Here is a 25,238-nt window from a genome sequence, read left to right as displayed (position 1 = left end):
CTAACTTACAAATAAAGAGATGTGCAGATGGCTTTTATCTTATTTACTCAAGTATTTTCAGTGCACTCAGTAATCAGTGGGGTACACTTATCCTGGTGTTGGGGAGGGAATTGCATACCCAGCTCCTATTACTGTTCATAAATTATTGTTCCCATATGCACCATCCTGAGAATGTACCCCAGTGGGCTTTGTTTGGGATGTGTATTCCTGCAGTTGGTGGTGCTAGGAGTCTCACCAGAAATCTGGAAAAGACCAATTAAAAGGCAAATCCTCTCTTCCCATTTCAATAATGCTGACCAAAGCAACTGAACATAAGGAGATAAATGTGAATTGTTTTCTATGTTTTGCATAAACACTGTAAATTTTAAAATACATTTTAATACTGAATGAACATAATGTCCCCTGGAGAGTTCTGTTTACAAACCATTTAAAGACACATCATTTAGACAGCCCACCTTCATAATTCAAATGACCTCAGATATTTTGCATTAAGGCAGTTCTGATACTTAGGACTTGAATGCTCACAGAATTAAGTAATAGCATAAAGAAGCTCCTATATTTATTTAGAGAGCAAATTAGACTTTGACACGGGTAATAGCAGCCACACCAGGGTCCACTCCTTTATAAGATATTTTAGTTAATCCCTCTCTGATTGAATCAAGTTGCAATGTAGTTACTGCTGATTTCCAGGATTCCAACTTGGGGGTAGGTCTATGTCATGGGGCTTACATGGGTGCCCATAAAGGTCTGTGGAATTGATGCAGTCTTCTACTTATTGGTTTCCTGGGTATACCCGATGGAATAGTATACCATTTCTACCCTTAAGTAGCTCTCAATACAGTGAAGACTCTTGAAAGATGCAACCAGGGCAAATAAAATGATGTTGACTGGAATACAGAGGACTCTTCAGTAAGCTAGGTATAGTTTTATGTCTAAGTGAACCATGCCAGGAGCCCTCCTGAATTACCACCAGAATATAGTTTCAGATCATTCAGCGTTTTTTCTTCTTTTTCTTTTTGTTTTTTCTCTTTTAGAAGCACTGATCTTAAATATCAGGGGAAAACATATCAATTTTTGTTTGTTTGTTTTCTTACAAGGACGGTTCCTTTTTTTCACAAATAAAGATTTCTTTCTGAAGAAATGTCTTCGTTAAAACAGCCAGCACTTCAATTCAAAACAAAACAAAACAAAATAAAATAACTTAACCACACAATAATATACAATGACGGGTCAAATAAAAATAAATACCCTAGCTCAAAAATGATACAGATAGAGTTGTCACTCAGATGGAAGAAAGAGAAATATTTTGGTACTAGCAATGAACCTTGGTTCTAATGATCTAAAATATGCTGCCAGATTCATGAGTATTTTGCTTCTTTCTACATATCTATTTTATCTTTATTAAGGAAGTTGATGAAGCCTTTGATGTTCCAAAAACACAATATGGAATGAATTAAACATCATTTTCAGAGTCATGTGTAAAGATTTGGACTTGTGATTTTTTTAATCCAGCCAACCAGTGTCCAAAGCATTTTTCATTATTATTAACATCTTCTCCCACCAATTTCTTTCCCAGTCTGGTACCTCATTCTGATTAATGGACTAGTAGCAGGGACTACTTTTTTAAAATGATGTTTCGCTTAGAGCATCTGTTTATGTTTCAACAAAACAAATAAAGGCAGGCATATTAAAGAATATGGTGTTTTAGAACAAAGAAAACAACCAAGATTAGAGGAAAGTTAACTGTTCCCCGGGGAGAAACCCTAGTGGTTAAACTGTTTCATCAGCGACAATACAGAAATTGTTTTAATGGTGTTTTGAACATCTTATTCTTGCAAAAATAATACTCATGCTCACAAAACATAAAGGTTGAAATCAAGGCTGTCCATTTGTAAGGTTGGCATTTATTGAGTGCAATATTTTATAAAGTCTGTTAAAGCCAGTAGTGTGAGGATATAGAAACTATGATACACCTTCATACTGGATCAACTATTTTTCATGCTAAACTGATTAATACTATGGAGAAAAATGACTGTTATTCAGAATATGAAGAGAGGTTTACTTTACAGTCTTGGGTTCTTGGGCAAAGCAACATCCCAAAGCTTATTTAATAGCAATTGAGAAATCACACAGGACACAAAACTGAAGTCTTCTATTTATTTAAAAGCAAAAGTACACCTATGGCATTTGTCTTTGTTTTCTCTTCCCAATTAAAACTACAGCACTTCTTTCTTGCTGTTTTTATTTTTCAGGCCTCAGTTTTAAAATGTTAACTCTACTAAATATTTTGGGGAGGCACTTACCCCACATACTGAAATCTGCTGCAGATTTTCTCTGTTAATAAAAAAAAAAAACCTGTAGCCATTAAATGCATGCTGTCATCACTAGATTACCTTGTAGAACTTCAAGATTTGTCACAGCAGCAAACTCTATCATGTGCACGGCAATGTATAAACAGACAGGGCAAAAGCCACCACAGGAAGAACATCCATGTTAGAGTCTTTAAAATTTCTTTCTCCGTTGGTCTAAACTACAGATTGGTGTCCTTCCATTAAATGCTTTGGTTTGCTTTGATAAAGGCTGTTTGTCACAGCCCGTGTTTGGGGGCAGAAGTTCTTGGGTAAAACTTGTCATTATTTATGTACAAGAAAGAAAAACCTTGTCTATTAAATTAATTAGAATGTGGCCTGAAAAGGAATATTTTTGATCAGTGAAAACAGAAGTCTTCGGGTAAAGGGAAAAAGAGGCAGAAAGGTTCAAAATACAGGGCTGCATTGTTTGCAGAAAGCCTGCTGCTTCTTTTATGCCTAACTGAACCATGCCAGGAGCCCTCTTGAATTTCTACAAGAATACAGTTTCAGATCATCTGCATTCAGGGCCAGAGTCATGGCCCTGGAACCGATAATTGCCTCTGACAGGATTTAATTACCTTCTCTAGGACCTTTTCTCTGTTTGATTGGAGACCACCCCCTGCCTCCGATCAAATCAGACAGTAATAACACGCTGAAGCGCAGCAGCCAATCACGAGTCAAGTCTGAACAGTGACCTTGCTGAGTCGAAGCTGATTGGTGGTGTCAGCCTTGTCAACGGTGTCAGTGAACCATCAGACAAGAAAGAGCGAGGGGGGAGCGGAGGAGAGCAACGGGAGATAAGAGAACAGCATTAATGCTAATGGAGGCTGTCAGCATTCAAGGCTCCAGGCCGCCTTACAAGCGGCCTTGCACAAAAACAAAATATTAGAGAACTCATACAAGTCTAAAATATTCAGAAGGGGAACATTTTCGCTTCTCCAGTTTGGGGAATCTATTCAAGGTATAATTCACATGCAATTCAGATAAAGTGACAGATACACGCACATGACGTGACAGAATAATTTTCATGAAAAGAAAAAGCCCCACAAAACTTATCCAGATGAATTTGGGGGGCAAGGGGTGGGGGTATAAACTACGTGCATGACTTTTTTTTTTTTTTAACTATAGCACTGAGAATGCTGGTATTTAAGATGCACCACAAAACTCTGCTTTTAAAATCAACCTGACTTAGCAGTCACTATATTACTTATGACCATTTTAGTGTGGAATATGAGCCTACCTGTAATATTAACAAAGAATAATACACTCATTAAATGGCCAATCTTTATGTACATACAATTTTAAGATTACTTATAGTAATGCATAATTCTGGTGATCTGCAAAAAAAAAAGTTTAAGACATAAAACTTGGTTAACCTCTATTCTGTTAAAAAAGGTTCTTTTCCCCACAAAAACAACATCATGGCATCAGTGAGTTAGAATATGCAGAAAGTCTGTTACAAAATGGTAATAAACTGAGATCTGGAAGACATGTAGAATGCGTCATTAGTTCTGTACTAATTTGGAGCTTAATTTATTCATTACATTCATCTATAAATAAAATAATCTTCTCCATAGCATTTATTTTGTTTCTGACTCACCTACTTCTTTACAAATGTGGAATCTAATACAAAAAAAGTGTTTACAGAGGAGTATTGTAATTTCTCTTAATTTAGAGCCTAAAATTCAGTTATATTTAGAGAAATAGAATGTTTACCAATTGTGATTCACAGTATGTTTCTCACAAATTTTTAAAGAAAATTGTGGTCTAATTTAACACCTTTCAAAAGAAGACATACTTTGTTATATGACTGTCAGGCTTTGCTAAATGGAATATTATTTTTCAAAATAGTATCGGCTGATTCAAGTTTAAGACAAACTTCTGCCACATCTCTACAGATATACATTTCTTTGAGCAGTTTTCAGCTTCACCAAGGATTTTTACCTAAACAGCCCTTGCAGAAGTTGATTCAGTGTTTTTGATTCTATTGTTTAAACACCTCTCCCAGAAGGAACATGTATTTAAATAAAGAATAGATTTCTTTTTTGTATATCTACAATTATTTTCCTTTATGGTTATGGAGTTTAAAAGATAGTTTAATTAACATATACCTAAATCATATTTTTATACTGAATTGGAATTTATAAGGGACTTTTTAAGATGATATAATTATTTCAAGTTTTGAAGAACTATTTGCAACAACCTACAGGGATACAGTGCTACTTTGAAAAGATTGTTTATTTTCAGAGCCCCTTGGTTTAAGAAGTCATCTAGGGGAAAAATGTATCTTACACAAGAAAGCAGAAGCTTTACAGTCTGGTTCCAGCTTTGCTATTGACAAGCTGTCCGATTTGGGTCAAGTCATTTTATCTCCATGGGTATTGGTTTCCTCAGCTTAAAAAGGCAGTTAACATGAGGTTACCTAAAGTTAAAAGTATGTAGAGTAGAGGTATAATTAGCATGCAGACATAATAACAGAGTCATTTCACTTCTCAGGGACACTAAAAAAGCTTCTCTGCAACTCAGGGTTGCTGAGTTTCTCTGCCTCTATTTCCTCCAGCCCCTTCCAGTCACACAACCTCACACTACTTAACATACACATTCACACTCATAGCTCTTATGACCAGAATTGAGGTAGGCAACAAGTAGTCACCATCAGTGTCAGGACTAGACCCCACACCTGCTAAATCTTACCCTTAGGTTTTTTCAAACCCCACTTTTTGACACTCGGTACTAACAAATTATATTAGAGTAAGTGTTGATCTTTTACTGCAGTGCGTTTAAGTATTTTTCATTTGTAGACTCCACATCCATCATGAGATCTTACCTGTGTAACAGAGCAGATGCTTAACAAATGCTTTTTAGAGGCTATAACAAAATTAAACAAACCTAGTCTGGTGTGATTATCATCAGTGTGAATTACTACTCACTGTTGGCCACTATTTTCAAGTCTAGAATATACAGAACTCTAAGAATGAGGACAAATTTTATTTAGCTATTTTGAAAATGTTCAAGAGAGCAAAACAGAGAAGTACATGTACATTCCAAACATGAGAAGGTTTTTATGTCTCCAAGCAGGTAGTCAATAACATTTTATTTCAATGGAGGATACTACACTCTCGAAAGACTATCTACCCTCAATTGTGAAGGGAAGAGCAAATTTTCAGTCTGTCCTCCTGTTATCCCATCTTTAACCTGTTCAGATCAGAGCAGCTTTCACAGAATGAAGAAGAAAGAAGTGTCATGCCTTATTTCATTTCTTTAGCAACAATGCTATTATTCTCACCCTGGAAAGGTGAATAATTAATACCCATCTGACTCCACCTAATTAAGTCTACATTTGCCTGTTCTGTTCATTTGAAAATACTTTCCTTTAGAGAAAATAGCCATTGCTTATCTTCACAGTTTATATTTCTTAAATGGACACTTTTGGAATTAAAGTGATTTTATCTTGGTTTTAAAAAGCCTTTCCCTTTTTGTGCTAATCATTAGGAATCAACGACAAAGCCTACTATTTTTCTAAATGGGAGAAAGAATATTAACCAATTCCTGGGTTAAGATTCTTATAAAACAGATAATCAAGCCCCTTGTAATCCTAGGGTATGTTCCTTTTTTTTCTAGAGAGATGGGGGAAAAAAAACTTTTTGGTCCTTTAAAAACTGAACACAGACACACAAAATTAGAAATTAAAGAAAAGCCATGCAACAAGGGCTTATATCTTGGTTGCTGTTTCAGAATGATCCTTGCATAATCTGAGTTACAAAACAGAGTGACTCTAATTGCAAATTCAGTCACTCCTTGACTGAAGTTCAGAAATCAATTCCCAGTAAAATATGACACTCATTCATTCAAAACAATAGAATCGTCAATATTTCACCATCAACAGCCTAGTTAGGACCTACTTCAGTACAATCCAAATTCAGTTCTTTTACTCTGCCAGGCAAATCCTTTTTATCCCATGTAACTCTTTCCAATAATCCAAAACATGTTGGAAAATTAAACAAAATCATGAGGTTGCCAAGACTTGTAGGGAGAATTTCACTCAAACACTTCTGATCTCAGACTTCTGATTTTTTCCTTAATTCATATTGATTGTCAACTTCACTTGTATCCTTGTGGCTCGGCAATTTAAGTGTAGATATAAATCATCCGAGGGAGAAGGAGAGAGAGTAATGTGGACCAGGGACAGGGCAGGAAGAGGGTAAAAGAAGATTCAGGTTCAATTAGACAGTCTAGAATCTGATCTGGGATTGTAGAATCCTGAAGTTTACTTCACGTACAGCAACTGAATGGAAATTACAACACAATTTTCCAACAGACTCCACTTGGTATCATTTTCTCTATCCCTCAAAGAATCAGAGAAATGACAGAACTCAGATATGGAGTTGGAAACCAAATGTAAATAGAAAACTGGTAAATGGATAGTTTTGAATCAGTGAATGTTTCTGACACTGAAATTCCCAAGTTTTGACCCCTAGCTCTGAGTTTACTTCTCCTTTGGTGACCTTATCTAGTTACTGACTGCTAAAATCTCAGTTTCTTTTTCTAAATTCTGCACTCTGAGGTATTAAGAAATGATTCTTACCTTTCGCTGTGAACTTTTAAGATCCCTAAATAAAATACCCAAGGCTTATATTGTTTTGTCACATTATTGTTGTTACTATTACAACAATGTTGGGGTTTGCCTGTGTGTTTCCGAAGGGGTGTTTCTAAAAAGAATACATCTGATTAAGTGCACTGTTTATTTACTTCAGGATCCACATTTTAAAAGACTTGCACACAAAAGGCTTAGAAATGCTTCCAAATGAAAAACTCTAGTCAAATGATTACTCAGCTGGCAAAATGGAAATTTCAAGTTGCATAGACAGCTAATTGTGGCCTGCCTGTGGAATGACAGGTCTATAATTTTTAGTTTTGTGTGCATTGAAAGCCAGTCACCTTGACACTCAGTGGTCCATTATCCACCGGCCACCAACCATATGATGTTGTTCAAGGAGTGACAGGCACTTTCCATTATGGGTGATGAAACACACCGTGCTTTATTTGGATAAAGCTGTCGTAAGGAAAAAAAGAAAGTCAGGTGCCTACTCCTCCCCATGAGCAACAATGACACTAACACACCTTTAATTCCAGAGGATGAACTTCTTTGTTCTTGTATAATAACAACCATCAGTTACTCTTGGTATTTGTTGCCAACATTTTTGAAGTGCTTTAATATGTCACGATCTTAGCCTTTTAAATATAAATTTCACCTCTTAATGTCAAGAGCTCTCACCATTAAATTATATTATGTTGGAAGAATTTGAAACCTGATTAAAGCCTGCATCCCAGGGAAAGTTTAACATATTACTTCTTTGCCTATTTTTCCCCTCAAAGCTATCATTTCGATAGTTCCAAGGTTTTATGATGTGGGGGAATATTATTAAACCCAGAGCCAGGAGACGAAATTGTAATCGCAGTTGTGAACTAATAGGCTGTTGATTTTGAAGAAGTATATCTCCTCTCTGAGCCTCAAATCTTTAAAATAAAGAAGCTGGAACAGATGCTCTCTTCATTTTTGTCTATCCCTGGAAGTTCCTATTTCTGTATTAATATTAAAGTCTTGATAATAAAATTTTCCTGGCTGCAAATAAGACCAAACTTCATTTGTCACATAGAGCAGTAAGGAAGTCAGTAGTCTCCCCTATCCAAGGTGATATGTTCCAAGACCCTCAGTGGATGCCTGAAACCAAGGATAGTACCAAATCATATATAATACCATATTTTTTCCTGTACATACCTATAATGAAGTTTAATTTATAAATTAAAGTAAAATATGAACAACAATAATAATAAAAATAGACCAATTATAACAATATACTGTAACAAAAGTTATGAAAATGTGGTTTCTCTCTCTTGCTTTCTCTCTTCCTCCCAAAATATCTTCTTTTACTGCACCTTGGGTAACTGAAACCAAGGAAAGAGAAACAGTGGGTGAGTGGGGACTACTGTATTCAGCTACAGGTCATAATACCAATGAACTGTGGCATTAAAAGGAAAGACAATCAATGATCATACCTAACAGAAAATTTGGAGGCATGTTCCTTATGATTCTTTACAGCAGCTCAACATTGTTACCAATTACTTGGGTTCTGAGCTCTTTCTTTACTTACTGTGTGTGGTTTTTATCCTTAGTTGTCATTTACATAAGATGCAGCAGCAGCTCCAGGCATCAAGTTATCTCCCCCAAAAAAATTCCTAGACAGAAGAAAGGGGAGAGACTGGAAAGAGTGATCTCTGGTTATCAGGAAATAAAAATTTACCCAGAGGCATTGTGGTAGACTAAATACTGGCCACCATATCCTTGTTTGAGTACCCAGAACCTGTGAATGAAACCTTATATGGCAAAAGGACTTTGCAGATGTGATTAAATTGAAATGGGGAGATTATTCTGGATAACTCAGTGGATCCTAAATATAATCACAAGTGTCCTGATAAGAGGGAGACAACCAGAGCTTTGACACAAAAGAAGAGAAGTAGGAGAGATAAGTAGAAGCAGGAGGTTGGAGTGATATGAGAAAGAACTCATGAGCCAAGAATTCAGGTGGCCTCCAGAAACTAGAAGAGGTGAGGAAACTGACTCTTTCTGGAGTCTCAAGAAGGAAGACCCCTGCTGACACCTCCACTTCAGCCCAAGGAGACTGATTTCAGACTTCTGGCTTCCAGAGCTATAAGAGAACAAGTGTGTGTTTTAAGCCTCTAAATTTGCTGCAATTTGTTATAGCAGCAGTGATAAGCTAATACGAGTCCCTGAGTACACTTTCCTACATGTCAGATTGGCCAGTTATCGTCTACATATGTGTGACTCCTAGACACAAGGGAGCCTGGGGCAATAAGTAGCTGGCAAACAAATAAAATAGATGTGATTGTGTTAGATCTATTCTGATTAATCCCCTGGGCTAGGTATGTTGCTGGTCTCAAATAAACTGGAGTTCTCTGAGCATGTAAGAGTGGGGATAGAAAATTAGTAAGTTCTGTCAGAATCAGATTTCAAGGAAATCTGTGAACTTTGAGATTATTTGCATCTTGATACAGTTCAGAAATCTACCCAATTGCAATATTCACTAAGTGCCTAGTCATCCTGCTTAAAACTTCAGTGATTTGCAAAGTTCTCCCTAGTCTAGCCCTTGTGAATCTTTTTAGCCTGCCTCCCAACACTCTCTAGAGATCCAACCTTACTGGTTTTTTGGCTGTTTTTACAAAGGAGGCTTCCTTCCTAAGTCATCTCACCATACATTCGGTTTGCTTTCCATTGAAATCCCCCCCATCTATCCCTCCCCTCATATTCTTGGCTTAGGTAAATTCCATTGACGTTTCAATTCTCAGCTTAAACAGCAATTCCTCAGAAATGTTTCCCTGGACTATCCTAGCCTAAGATAGCAACACGTTGTATTCTCCTTTAGCATATTTTATGTAACACTCATCAGACTGAAAACTATCTGTTGGATGCTGTTTTCTTCACTAGGCTGGGGTGCAGCCTGGTTCTAACAACAGGAGAATATTTTCAGGGAGAGGATAAGCCAGGTAATGAGGTCAACCCTGTTGGCTTGTGAGGAAGCAAAACATAAAGAAGGCAACACAACACTTTCTTACCTGTCTCGTCATGTGAGCACTGATGCTTCCATTGTGTATTAAACAGTCTAACTCTTGGTTTCATTTGTTTCTTTTGACAGATTTTTATCATAGCCCCCACAAGCATGTCAATATATTGCCTTAAAATTATTGGAAAGGAGCTACATTGAGAGAATGTGCCAAGAAAAGCGAAATATGAGGTGTTAAAAAACCTCTCCCTCTATCTGAGCAGTCAAAGCTTCATCTGCCTTATTGACCACTCTTTGCAACAGAGCTAGGCACAAAGTACTCTTTGGAGAAATAATATTTATGGATTAAAGGCACCAAGCTTAACACTGGAGCTGTACAAGACAGGGACTTTGCCCACAGGGTGATTAAACCTATCAAATCACCCTGAATAGTGTTACTTGAAATTTGGTCCATACCACTTGCATCAGAATCACTTGCAGTGCTTGTTTAAGAATATTCTTAGGTCCTACCCTTGACCTACAGAATCAGATTTTCTTGGGGAGTATTACCTCTGGTGATTTTAGACCAGCAGAGTTCAAAAACAATTACCATTAACTGAAAACAAAAATGGATAGTCCTATTTCTTTTTGTTTTTAGCCAAGAAATGTTGTGCTTTCTCTTGCTTCTAGTCATTTCAAAGCTTCACAGACACTCCCCCTTCTATGTATATTTAGTACAATGTTTTACAAATGCCCTACTCAATTCGATATTGCATCAGCTGAGCAATTCCAGGGTCTTCATCTATTCCTCTATGCAACTATAGAACTAACACACCGTTTACACCACAGGATAGCTCACACTTGGGGAATTGTGTTTCATCTAATCTAATTCCTTACAATTAATGAACAAGTCCTATCAATTTAATGGTGTTATCTCAGGTCCACATTTTGGTGTAAATTATTTATCCCACTAATTTAATGGCAAACAGTCACCAAGGCGAGCTTAAGGCAATAATTTCACACATATATTGGTTATAGGTTAATTATTTAGGTGCCACAACTGACTTTGCAATAATGAACTCTCTTGGGCAGACCCCATAAAATACGTTCCTCAGCTTTAAAAAAAAAAAAAAGAGGTTTAATATTTTGAAGTTTCTCATGCTGAAGTTTATGTAACCTTCTGAGTTATACTGAAATTTTAGGGAAGAGCAGAGAGAGTTTGTGCCAAACAAAAGACAAAGTGGAGAACATAATGAAGGAAGAAAGAGCAAGCATGTCTGCAAAATCTTTATGTGAAAGTTCCCAAAATTAGTGGTGGCATAAATCAAGAATTGTGAGATTTTAAAAACTAAATACTAAAATTTCAGGGCATTGCATATTTTTAAAAAGTCTCTTAAATTCCTCCATTTGAAATATATAGACTTTAATATTTACAGTATCTTATACCAAGTTCAATCTTTTATTCATTTAACCATAGTCCATAGGAAAAAAAAAACTCAACAATTTTGATAGAACACTGGTTCCCAACCACAGCAAAGTGACACTCTGATGTACTGTGCATCTTCCACAGGCATGTGGCAAAATTTAGTCACATTGAAAACTTTATTTATTACAAACTAGGATACAAACTATGAGAACAAATAAGTAGAATAGTTCATGCAATGTGGTGTATTGCAGGATAAAAACCATAGGGAGTAAAAGAAGCAACGTTGAGGCAGAGCTGTTGAGAAAGTGTGCATTTATTGAAAAGCTTCAGATGTATGCCTCCTGAATGTATAAATCAGGGTGTGAAGTGTCCCCTCTCAAACAGAAACACAAGGCTAAAGGTCTACCCAGTGAACAAAGTGACATCGATAAATATGAGTTAATGCCTTCAAATGTTCTGCTGAGAATTCTATGCTCAAAAACGAAAAAGTTGAGCCCACTGCTATATGTAGTTTCAAGAGCCACGGTAGAGATTTGCACAGGGTATTTTGGGATATAAAGAAGAAACTCTTCTTCTGCTTGGGGTTGTGTGTTTTCCTTCAGGAACTGATGCTTCATAGAGAAATTAAAATCATGAAGGGCATAATATAACCTACGGAAATAAATAATGAGCAAAAGTCAGGTAGTTCCTTAGGGAGAAGAATATTCACTCCCCAAGTGTTGGGGAACATAAAGGATTTCTGTTGTCAAAGACTCAACAGCCCTATCACTTGGATGTCCGCATCATCTCCATCTCTGTTTTCCCCTGCATAATTAGGTGCTTATTTCCTTGTCTTTGGGGCCTGATCAGATTAGCAGGCCAACATTTTACCTCTGCAACCCTGGGTCCAGATAAGCAATGTGTGAAAAGCAAATTTTTCAACAACTGATTTCAATTTAAATCCCTAAACACTCATATCTACTTTATTCTCTTGACCCACGATCTTCAGGAAATCCTTTTGGTTGTTCTACTTCTGTGTGATCATCATTTTCTTCCTTGTCCCTTTGCTCCAGTCAACACTTAGAATGAATGAACCCCGCTTCTTGAAAATCCCAGGAGCCATTCATGCCTTCATCTCGCCCACTCATCCTGACAAAGCAAGGTTCCTTTGCAGTTCTGAAATATTCTGAAACGTCTAATGAACACCAGATGAGCTCTGAAGTTTACATGGTATCTTCGGGGCTTTCTCTATTCACGTCTCATTTTAGTTTTTTTGTCCATAGGCAAATTCTTATTTTTTCAGAAACCGATTAAAGTGTTAAACAAAGCTGAACTATCATCCCAGTTCTCTAAATTTTCTGAAAACTCTGGTTGTATCTTACTATAGAGCTATCTCTAACTCCAACATATATAATTTTCCTAGTCCCTAAAATAGCACCAAAATCTTATCTCCTGGCGCTTTAAATACCTTATAATGGGTGGTAGGATTACATAAGATTTTAGCATTTATGTAATTTTTAACCTGGAATGAACATAGTCATTTGATGAGCATCTATTGTTCTCAGAGAACAAGTCCTATCCAAATTCTCCACAGGACCTAAGATCTAATTTCAGCATGAATGATTGGAAAAGTGCCTCCATATTTTCTGATCTTTTCTTTATTCAGTTATTAAAAGTGTAGCAAAAAACAGTGCTAATATTCTCATTGAAGTACTCTGTTCAACAAAATAGGTAATCTAAATGATAAATGTACACAGTTTCCAGGAGATGCGGTAAAGCAATTTTCATTTGGAATGAAAAACAAATAGGTCTTTATAACATGATTTTTTTCTGAATGGCCCTTTCCTTTAACAAAAGTTAATTATCATTGAGGGCACAGACTCATTCATTTACACCCAATGAAACTGAGCCTTTAAAACGTAAATGATCTGACTTCCAGTTTCTGGCCCAACATGTAAGGAACTTAGAACTCTTCACTCCATCCTAATAACAAGTTAAAAACTAAACAAGCTGAAAAATCAACAACTCTTATTAGATCTGTGAGAGAAGTGAGCTCACAGGGCAAACCTCTGCCTCCAAAACTATGGAGATAGACATTAGACATTCATATACAGAGAATCTCAATGTGTTAGAGCAGAAACCCACAAGCAGAAACCTTTGCAGGGACAAATACCTGGGAAGAAAAATCTAAGCTAATTGATGAACTGCCAGAGGTTCAGTGTGAACAAGCCTGAGGGATAAAACTCCAGGGGTCACAGACCTGGGAGGGCCTTAATAATCTTGTGAATTATACCCAGAAGCTCTAACAGGTCCTTAAAGTGAATATTAAGGAAAAATGCCCTCATGGGAATATTTCACCAGAGCTTAACCTGCTGGGTTTTTAACCTTATGGAAAGGAAACACCCAACTCCAGCCTACTGTAGCCATCCTGTCCCACCTAAGGGAGGATAAAAAAAAAAAAAAAAAACCCAGAAGCACTGGTGAAGTTCACAGTCTAGGGCCCTTGGCTCACCCAAAGATTGGGACCTGATCACAGGACCGTAGAACACTGTTTCTGTCCCCCTCACAAATAGTAGACAACAAGCAAAAACAGATGGATAATGTCAACAGAGAGATGAAAAATTTAAAAAGAATAATAAAGAAATGCTAGAGATCAAACACCATAACAGAAATGAAGAATGCCTTTGATGGGCTCATTAGCCGATTGGACATGGCTGAGGAAAAAAAATTTCTGCATGTGAGGATATAACAATAGCAACTTCCAAAACTGAAAAACAAAGAGAAAAAAGACTGAAAACTGGCAAAAACAAAACAAAACAACAACAAAAAAACAAAAAACAGACGGAATAGCTAAGAACTGTGAGAATACTACAAAAGATGTAATTATGCACAATGGGAATACCAGAAGGAGAAGAAAGAGAGAAAGGATGAGAAGCAATATTTGAAGGAATAATGACTGAGAATTTCCCCCAAATTAATTTCAGACAGCAAACCACAGTTTCGGAAACTCAAACAACACCAAGCTGGACAAATGCAAAAGAAAAAAAAAGTAAATTTCTGCATGTCATGTACAGAGTTCAGTAAATAAATATAAAGAAACAATCTTGAAAGAAGTCAGAGGAAAAAAACACTTTACATATAGAGGCTCAAACATAAGGATTATAACCTTCTTAGAAACCATGCAAGCAAGAAAGTGGTGTAAAATATTTAAACTGAAAGAAAAAACTCATAAAGATTTTCTCAGTTAATCTTGTTTTTGTATTTTTCGTAGAGACGGGGTTTCACCGTGTTAGCCAGGATGGTCTTGATCTCCTGACCTCGGGATCCGCCCGCCTCGGCCTCCCAAAGTGCTGGGATTACAGGCGTGAGCCACCTGCTACTCGGGAGGCTGAGCGGGGGAGAAAGGCATGAACCCGGGAGGTGGAGCTTGCAGTGAGCCGAGATGGCGCCACTGCACTCCAGCCTGGGTGACAGAGTGAGACTCCGTCTCAAAAAAAAAAAAAAAAAAGATTTTCTCAGGCAAATTTGTTGCCGGTAGACACACCTTGCAAAAAATGTTAAAAATTCATCAGATAAGTGACACAGGTCAGAAAATCAGATCTACTTAAATGAGGAACAAACACTGGAGACTGATTAAGTGAAGGTAAAATAAAAACTTTTTAAAAAAATTATTAATTGATGTAACAATTAACAGTTTGTTCAAAATAATAATATCAACAATGTATAGAATTAGAATTATGTGTGCCTCTGTGTGTGTGTGTGTGTGTTTATGTATAAGTGAAATGAATGAAAGCAATGGTATAAGGGATGGGAGGGAGCAATTAGGAATGTTTTGTCATTCTAAGATACTTGCACCATCCGTGAAGCAGTATTTGAAAGTGAATTTGGATTAATTGTAAATATATATTGCAAATTCTAGGGCAACCACTGAAAAAAAAAGAAGTATAACTAACATGCTAAGGAAAGATAGAAAATGAAATCATAAAAAACAATTAAAACCATAAAAGGGAGTAAAAGTATGGAAGGCAAAAATAGAAACAAAAAGCAATGGCAACAAGTAGAAACCAGAAACAAATATGGTAAATATTAACCTAACTCTATCAATAATCACTTTAAAAGTCAACAATCTGAATATACCAATTAAAAACAGAGATTGTAAGAGTGGACTAAAAAAGAAGACCCAATTATATGTTGTTGACAAGAAACCTACTTTAAATATAAAGACATATGTTGATTAAAAGTGAATGGATCGACAAATATGTAGCATGATAATGCTAATTAAAAGAAAGGCGGGGTAGCTATATATTAATTTCATATTAATTTTATGCAGAGCAGACTTCAGAGCAAGGAAGGATGGGTGGATACATAGAATGCAGAGAAGTTTGGTGGCCATGAAACTATTCTGTATACTACAGTGATTAAGAAACTATTCTGTATATCTGTATACTACAGTGACGAAGATATGTCACTATACATTTGTCAAAACCTATAGAATGTACAACATCAAGAATTAACCCTAATATAAGCTATGGGCTTCAGGTGATTATGAAGTGTCAGTGTAGGTTCATCAGTTATAGTAAATATACCACTCTAGTGGGGACGTTGATAACAGCTGCGAGGGGGGTGGTGTCTGTGCATGTCCAAGGGCAGAGAGTATATATTAATAGGAACTCTCTGTACTTCCTGCTTAATTTTGTTGTGAACTTAAAACTTCTCTAAAAATAAAATTTATTCATTTGAAATAATAAAATAATAAAAGTAAGATAAAAGTAAATGACTCGTCCAAGATCACACAACTGGAGAAAATACTTGAAGCTGAAGCTCCTTTTTTGCAGTTTCCCTATTACACCACATCCTACTCACCTGTCAGTTTTAATTTTGTTTCTTATGCTGAAAAATTAGGTACAATATTTGTTTGTCACGAGCCCTTTGCTTTGTAGAGCTTGACTTACTCTTTCATAAATGAATTATAATTTCCCAGATGTTCCTCTAGTTACATTCTGATTAATGCCACGTATATTACGCAGATTGAGAAAATAGGGTTTAGACTCATTTGTATTTCAAGATTTTCCTAAGGCCTCATCTTAACATTTCAGAAGCATACAATTCAAGTACTCTTTTTCTCTTCACAGTGCATCTAATATTTCTTCTCAGGTACACGTGTTCTTCAGAAGCTTCAAGTAGATCATTTCCATGCCAAGAGTTGTTCAATGCCGTAAATTTTAATTTCTTGATTATCTGTTTAAGCATAATCTGTATTTCATTAGTATTACTTATTTCTCCCTAGAGAAAACTACGGACATCTTGCATCTGTTTCTCATAGTCTGATATAAATAATGAAGATAAACTATACATATGAAAAGACAGTATATGGTTTCAAAATATTTTCTACTACAGTCTTATCATTTCAAACTCTTTTATTGAAATTAATATTCTATCTGTTACAATCTTAACTTATAGCAGAAGTGGTGGAAAAATACTGTGAATGGGCATTATTGCCTGCCTTCCATATTCAGCGTTTGCAGACTGTTTCTCCTCCATCAGAAAGTTAGTTAATGTGAATGTCTGGTGATTGGAATAGAGTTCACCAGAATTCTTTCAACTGAGATTTCAAGAATCAAACTAACTTCTACCTTAAGGCAGAGGCATCACTATGCTGAAACTTGAAATAATAGGCTAAATAAAAATTCTATCAGTTAACATCCTTCCAGACCTAGAAAGGAAAAAATAAATAAATTTGAAGTCAAATTAATATTTGTATTTTTAAAAAATGAACTAAAGCACATTTAATAAAACTGTCATTGAGAAACATTGCCTGTATAATTTCAATGTGTGCTTTAAAATTGCAGTTTGTGGAAATATGGAAAAAGGGTAGAGGAAAATATAAAAGAAAAAAAAAGAGGAACTTGGTTTTCTTTCTAATTTTCTTAGAAACAATTAGTTTGGCCATAAGTTCATGGAACCATCTGAGGGATAGTATTAGGGAAAAAAGATAGCAGAAAAGTCCTGATGACTGGTCAGTGGGTGTTATTTGGACCTCTGTCTTCTGGGACTCAGCAAATTAGTAGAAAATCATAGGTTGCCATGATACAGAGGATAATGGAGGTTGATTGATTTTGGTTTTGTTTCATTTTGATTTGGCTTGTTTCGTTAAGAAGGTCTTGAATAAGGTACCTCTTCTAAGGTAGTATCTAATCTAAGAACTGAAATTGCTTTATTCACTCATTCTTTCATTCAACAGAATGCCGGTTTTGAGGCATTCTGATTTAATTAAACTGAGATCTATAGGATGAGAAGACAGATGAAGGGCAAAAGCAAAAGGACCACATATGCAAAGGTCCTACAGCTGTCAAAAGATTTGAGAGAAAGAAAAGTCAATGTGGCTGCAAAACAAACTCTGAAGAGAAAATTGGTAAGAGATGTAATTAGGAATATAAACAGAAACCCTCTTATGTAATCCCTTGAAGGGCTTTATAAAGGGTTGAAATTATTTTCTTAGAGCCATTAAAGGACTTTCAATAATGACGGCTTATAACTTATATATTTTAAGTTTACTTTTGTCTGTGTAATGGATGGATTAGAACAGCGGTTCTCATTGGAGGGTGATTTTGTTCCCCAGGAGACATTTAGCAATGTCTCCCCCTAGGAGATGGTTTTGGCTCTCAAAACTACAGAAGGAAGGGGGAGGGTGTTACTCACATCTAGTGGGTAGAGGCCAAGGCTGCTGCTAAATATACTATAAGGCACAGGACAGATCTCCTGCCTCCATCCCCAAAAAGAATTATTCTGCCCAAAATATCCATAGTGCAAAGATTGAGAAACTGTGGAATGAAGAAAGCAACCAAGGATACAGGGAAATTAAATTAAATGACCATCCCAGTGGTCTACGTAGAAATAATGGTGTTTTTCAAAGTGGTTTGTATTGAAGTGGACAGAAGTGGATTGACTCAAGATGTGGTTTATAGAAATACTGATAGAACTGGACTTCTAGTTTTGATAATGGCAGATTATTCAAATCACTGATGAAAATTACTGACTCAGTCGGTTTGTGCTGCTATAATAAAATATCACAGGCTGGGTAATTTACAAACAGCAGAAATTTATTTTCTCACTGTTCTGTAAGTTGGGAAGTCCAAGGTCAAGGTGCTGGCAGCTTTGGTATCTGGTGAAGGCTCATTCTTTATAGATGGTGTCCTTACATGGCAGAAGAGACAGAAAGGGCAAAAGAGGATGAACACTGTCCTCATATGGCAGAAAAGAGAAAACCTATTCCCCGAAGCTCTTTCTATAAGGACCATAATCCCATCCAGGAGGGCCCTGCTCTCATGACTCAATCACATTCTAAAGGTCCACACCTCCTAATACCATCACTTTCACTTTCACCATCAAAAGTTTCAACATATGACTTTGCAGGGCACACATTAAGACCATAACAACTACTAAGGAAGGTAGAGTTATTTTTTCAAAATCTTTTAAAGGTAATCCAAGAGCTAACAAATACATGAGAAATCAATAGACTAACATCCAAAAAGGGATGAAAATTCAGAGACATGAGCCAAATATTTGAGGGGTTTTGCCCTGTATTTGCCCATCCAGGAGAGGAGTCCCAGAGGTTGAGTTGTACTTTTAATATCCTCAAGAAGTGTAGGAAATACAAGTCAGTCCAAAGTTTGGCAAGAGTGGGAACTCTGCTGAGCCATCTCTACCTTGGCCTTGCACCCTGGTGGGATATATCATGAAAGATAGGTGAACTGAAGGCAAAATAGCACTTGCACGGATGGCACCCAGCTTTTAGCCATCTGGGTGACCTAGCAAAATTTCAGGCATGGAAACTGGATTAGGATAATCTTTAATTACTAATGCACAGGTACCTGTCTGAGACAAAAATCCTTTACAGAGAAATATAATATTCTCTACACATTTTTCTACAAATATTTGATCAAGCCAAGAATAAAACCAAACCTAATTAGATACATGAGAAGACATGACTAGCAGATGTAAAACGAATAAAAATAAACCAATCAATACTTCAAATCTTGGAATTTTCAGTCACAGAATATAAATCAACTATATTCAAGGAGGAAAAGTTCAATCCTAATAATTTCAAACAGAGACTCAGAAACTCTTAAAAAGTGACAAGACAAATGGGCAAAGAAACCAAATAGAAATTCAATAATTGAAAAATACAACAACAAAATGAAGAATTCAATGGATGGTTGATGTAGTTGAAGGGATAATTAGTGAAATAGAAGAAAATATCACTAATTAAGCAGGGAAAGACAAAAGGATAGAAAATTCAGAATTGAGCACAGAGCAGACAGGGAGAGGTTTAATACACATTTGATTGAGCCTCAGGGTACAGGAAAGAGATAAGAAGCAGAAGCCACATTTGAAGAGAAAATGGCTAAGAATTTTTCAAAACTGCTGATAGATATCAATTTACAGATTCAAAAACCTCAACTACTTCCAATAGGATATATGAAACTGCTTCACAGCTAGACAAATAATCAAAGGTGAAATGAAAATCTAAATTGGGTGAGTGGGTGCCATTCACCAAAATGAAAAAAACTGGGGTAGGAGAAATGAAAAGTAAGAATCTAATCCTACAAGTATTTTGCAGCTGTAACATAATAAAATTCTTTAGCTAAATCAGGATCATGACCAAATAACACAAGATTTTTTTTTAACTAAAAGAATGCCACAAGTGAGATTGAGTGTTCCTCCTAAGTGTTCCTCTAACATACAAACACTCATCACACATTATTATAGTCATTGGTTTACTTGCTATAGACTAAGCACTTTGAAAGTAAGAGTAATGTCTTTCATCTGTTATCCTCAGAACAGATTCACTTTGCCTGGCAAAGAGAATGTTCTCAATAAATTTTCATTATGTCCCTTGTATCACTTAGGACTAGTATTTGGTTGCTAGGAACAAATATCCAAAATACGAGTGACTTAAACAAGATTCATGTTTATTTTGTCTCACATAAATGAAGTTTAAACGCAGGCAGTGTCAAGCTGAAAAACAGTTCCTACTTTTACCAATTTTCCAAGTGTATCCTTTCTTATTTCCCATCCTTAGTGCATGACTTCTATACTTAAAGTCCACTCATGTCTATAAGACATCCACTCCAGCTCCAGCCATCACATCTGCACTCAGGGCAGGATAAGCAAAGAGCAAAGAGTGTGTTTCTCAAAGCTCAGTTAGCCCTCTTTAAAGTGCTTTTCCAGAAACTCCACCCAATAAATTCTAGTCATATCCAGTGTTTCAACTTCTACTGCCCCTACCAGAGTCTTACCTTCTGCAATTTCCTCTGTTCTCCCAATTTGAAACCTGTTCTGCTTTTCTCCCTACCCCTAGTGGACTACTAAAGCTACTTCCTCAATGAAGGAAAATACATTTCTAGAGTTTCAAGGGAGAAAATAGAATGTGTTTTCTTGAATGTTCTCAATAGTGCTTATATTGTACAGTATCATTATGTTACAATCAAGTTATTCACTATTAAATGAGTTTCTCTAGCCTAAACTTAGAACTGAAACACCACTTAGCATTTGTTTAAATTAGAAAGTTGTTTATGATTATACACAATTGCCCTAGAAACAAATTTCTGAAACATAAACATTTGTTAGGAAGTGTCAATATTGTTATGTGTGCTAGAACCCTGGTAGTGCACAAAGTAGTGTGCAATGCACTTTGGAATATTTGGTCATTTTTAACTTTTCCCACTTCATTATTTCTCTTGCTATTCTCTTATTGGAATACATTTGTTTTGTTTTGTTTTTAACCAAGGACTTAACTGTGTCCCCATTATGATCTGAAATGTATTATTTTTTCTCTTGAGCCATAACAGGAGATGACTTGCTGGTGTCCTGAGTGTGGCAGATGGTCCAAACTTAGTTTCCATGTCACAGAACTCAGCTACTAGATAAAATGACACTTGTAATATCCTGCATATTTCATATAGTAAACCCAGTAGTGAGGTTCTATCATTTCAAATCATATACTCTGAATATTTCTTGACATGAAAGTGAGTGAGTACTAGTTTGCTTGTGTTAATTCCTTGAAATTGTAGACGTGTGTTCAAGAATTATTTGAAATATTGCTAATTGTTTATTTTGTAAAGATATCTGATATAGAACCATATGGCTTCATTCTGTTATTTTTTTACATCTTTATAATGGCATATTATAAACTAGCAAAATCTCAGGGCAAACCCTGAAAACACAAAGTTAAAGGCACATTACAAATAGCTTAAATTAGGTCTTACACAGAATTTTATATCTACCCAGTATGTTTCATCATTTTGCAAGCATTATACTATATTAATACTAGAAAAATACTTACATAAATTATTGAGCTTTGGAGTGTAATTCTCCATTTTAGATGTTTCTCTGTGGTTGAGAATTTTGTTTTTTTATTCTGAGATTTTTAAATTATAACAGTCAGAATTATTTGATTTTTAAAACTACGTACATGTGACATATTGATTTTTATTTTCTAGAAATGAAATAGAAATTGATGAAGTTAGAATTGTTCTTAATATTGTCTTATAAAATTGGTAGAAATAGCATGAATTGGAGTAGATGGATTTGGTTTTCAGTCTTTATTCTTTCAGTTATTATCTCTATAACCTTATCTGTGTTATTTAATTTTTCTGAGATTCCATTTTCTTACCTAAAAATTAGGAAAAAAATTTTTTAAAAAAGTCATGGTGATGGCTAATGAAGATTTTTTTGTGTAAAAAGAGTGTCCATTTTTCCTTCCTTTTCCTTGGGTATATTGTGAGATGCTTCATAAGAATTTATTTTCTTCCTTAGTGTTTGCAACAACGTGAGACACACAGTAAATGTTTAGTAAATTTTAGTTGAGTTGAAATGAAATAAAATATCTTACAAAAATGCTAGAAATGTATGGAGATTTTGTATTCATTCTTGTAGTCTCTAAATATTTCCATGTTTTTACTTAGGGTGTACCTCCTTATAATACACTTTCTAGGCTGGGTGTGGTGGCTCATGCTTGTAATTCCAACTCTTTGGGAGGCTGAGACAAGCAGATTGCTTAAGCCCAGGAGTTTGAGACCAGCCTGGGCAACATAAACCTTGCTTTACAATACATTAAAAAAAAAAAAATCCGGCCATGGTAGTACACACTTGTCCCCGTTACTCAAGAGGCTGATGTAGGAGGATCAATTGAGCCCAGGAGTTTGAGGTTGCCGTAAGTTATGATGGCACTATGCACTCCAGCCTGGGTGACAGAGCAAGACCTTAAGTTAAAAAGAAAACAAAGCAGACAAACAAAAATTTCTGTTTTAATACTACCAGGCTAGGTTAGATACCTATCCTGTATGCTCCTACAAATTCACTCTGTGTCTCCATTAAAATATTTATTATATTCCTTTATATTAATCTATGTATTGGTTGTCCCACTCACTAGACTATAAGGTCCTTGAAAATCTTCTTTATTTTTGTATTCCTAGAATACAAAAATGCAGAGTAATTGACACAAAGCGGGTTTAAGAAATATTTATTCAATAAAATATTAATGAATTAGTCTTCAGCATTTGAATTCAGCATCGTATATGCCATAGTCTCTCCATTCATTAACTCAAACGCTGAAGGAGGCAAGCTCAATATAAAGAGTTTTCTGAGCATGTTTTTTGTCCTCTTATATTAAAACAAGAAAAACATAGAGGCAGGAGGATAATTTAGTAGAAGCTTAAATAAATGAGCATAGATTCCCACCCCTGCTGATCACAGGAGTCACAGAATTTAGGTATTGAATTCAACCATATTAACTATCTACTAAGACAAAACTCACTCTTTACAATAATACAACAGAACCTAGAATCTAGCATATTCAGTAATCTTCAACAGCAGTGCCAACAATACAAAATAGAGAAAGAATAGCTCATTCAATAAATGGTGTTGGTCAAATTATATCTACATGCAAAAGAATGAAACCGGACCTTTATTATATGTGATACACAAAAAATCAACTCAAAATTAAAGAGTTAAACATAAGACTTGAAGCTATAAAACTCCTAAAAAAAATCCTTGACACTGGTCTTGACAATGAATGTTTGGATATGACACCAAAAGCATAGACAACAAAAGCAAAAACAAACATGTGGGGTTAAATTAAACTAAAAAGGTTTTGCACAACAAAGGAAACAATCAATAAATGAAAAGACAACCCATGGAATGGGAAAATATTTGCAAACCATATCTCTGATAAGGGATTAACATCTAAAACACATAAGGAAATCATACAACTCAATAGCAGTAAAACAATATAACCTGACTTAAAAATGGGCAAAGGACCTGAACAGATGTTTCTCTAAGGAAGACATACAAATGGCCAACAGATATATGAAAATGTGCTCAACATCACTAACCATCAGGGAAATGCAAATTAAAATCACAAGGAGCTATCACCTTATGTCTATTAGTTATTATTATTTAAAAAAAGAGATAGTAAGTGTTGGCAAGAATATGGAGAAAATGGAACTCTGGTACACTGTTCATGGAAATGTAAATTGGGGCAACCATTATAGAAAACAGTATTGAGAGTCCTCAGAAAATTAAAAATAGAACTACCATTTGATTCAGTAATCCTACTTCTAGATATTTACCCAAAATAATTTAAATCAAGATCGCAAGGAGATATCTGCAGTCCTATGCTCATTGCAGCATTATTGACAATAGCCAAGATACGGAAACTACCTAAATGTCCATGGATGAATGAATAAAGAAAATGTGGCATATGTATATAGAATGGAATATTATTCAGCATTAAAAAAGAAAGAAATCCTGCCCTTTGTGACAATATGTATGAACCCGGATGAAATTATGCTAAGGGAAATAAGCCAGACACAGAAAGAAAAATACTATATGATGTCATTTATATATGGGACTTAAAATAATCACACTCATAGAAACAGAGAGTAGAATAGTGTTTGCTAGGGGTAAGGGGGAGGGGAAAACAGGGAGGTGATGGTCAAAGGATAAAGTTTCAGTTATGCAAGATAAGTTCTAAAGGTTTACTATGCGGCGGCCAGGCATGGTGGCTCATGCCTGTAATCCCAGCACTTTGGGAGGCCCAGGCAGGGGGATCATAAGGTCAGGAGTTCGAGACCAGCCGGGCCAAAATAGTGAAATCCTGTCTCTACTAAAAATACAAAAATATTAGCGATGCGTGGTGGCAGCTGCCTGTAATCACAGCTACTTGGGAGGCCGAGGCAGGAGAATCGCTTGAACCTGGGAGGCGAGATGGAGGTTGCCATGAGGCGAGATCTTGTCACCGCACTCAAGCCCAGGTGACAGAGCAAGACTCCATCTCAAAAAAAAAAAAAGGGTTTACTATGCAGCATAGTGCCTATAGCTAGCTGACAATACTGTATTACATACTTCAAATTTGTTAAGACAAATAAAGAGTTGTTATGTTGTTACCACATCCACAAAAATAACAGTAATAAAAGGCATGAGAGGAAGCTTCGGGAGGTGATGAATATGTGTATGACTTTCATGGTGGTAATGGTTTCATGAATGTATACTTATCCCCAAACTCATCAAGTTGTATACCTTGAATACACACCGATTTTTATATGTCAAAAAATATAAAATCTAATAATATTTTAATAAATAAGTTTCAAAAGATTAAGTGTAGAGTTTATAGAGTATATTTTCTCACCACAGTAGAATTAAGTAACAACAAGATATTTGGAGAGTCTCACATACTTGGAAATTAAATAACATAGTTCTCAACAATTCATGGGTCAACAAAGAAAGAAATCAAAAGGAAATTTTAAAATGTTTCTAACTGAATGATAATGAAATTTAGCACATCAGAAATGACAAGATGCAATTAAAACAATGCTTATAGGGAAGTTTATAGCTTTAAGTGTTCATAGTAAAAAGAAAGAC

At 35.8% G+C, this 25,238-nt stretch overlaps 1 long non-coding RNA gene across 1 annotated transcript in view; it reads right to left on the bottom strand.

The window, feature by feature from the left end:
* Nucleotides 1-5,318: 5,318 nt before the first annotated feature.
* MPPED2-AS1 (MPPED2 antisense RNA 1) overlaps nucleotides 5,319-25,238 on the bottom strand; it is a 49,179-nt gene continuing 29,259 nt past the window's right edge. Inside the window, exons 4-5 of the long non-coding RNA NR_183760.1 lie at nucleotides 8,504-8,588; nucleotides 5,319-8,297 (exon numbers count right to left, since the gene is read on the bottom strand). This is a non-coding gene — a long non-coding RNA (MPPED2 antisense RNA 1). The remainder of the gene's footprint in view (nucleotides 8,298-8,503; nucleotides 8,589-25,238) is intronic.

The sequence above is a fragment of the Homo sapiens genome, chromosome 11, assembly GCF_000001405.40.
Source record: "Homo sapiens chromosome 11, GRCh38.p14 Primary Assembly".
NCBI lineage: Eukaryota > Metazoa > Chordata > Mammalia > Primates > Hominidae > Homo > Homo sapiens.
Note: the sequence above shows the minus strand (reverse complement) of the source record. Positions and strands in the feature narration are given on the sequence as shown.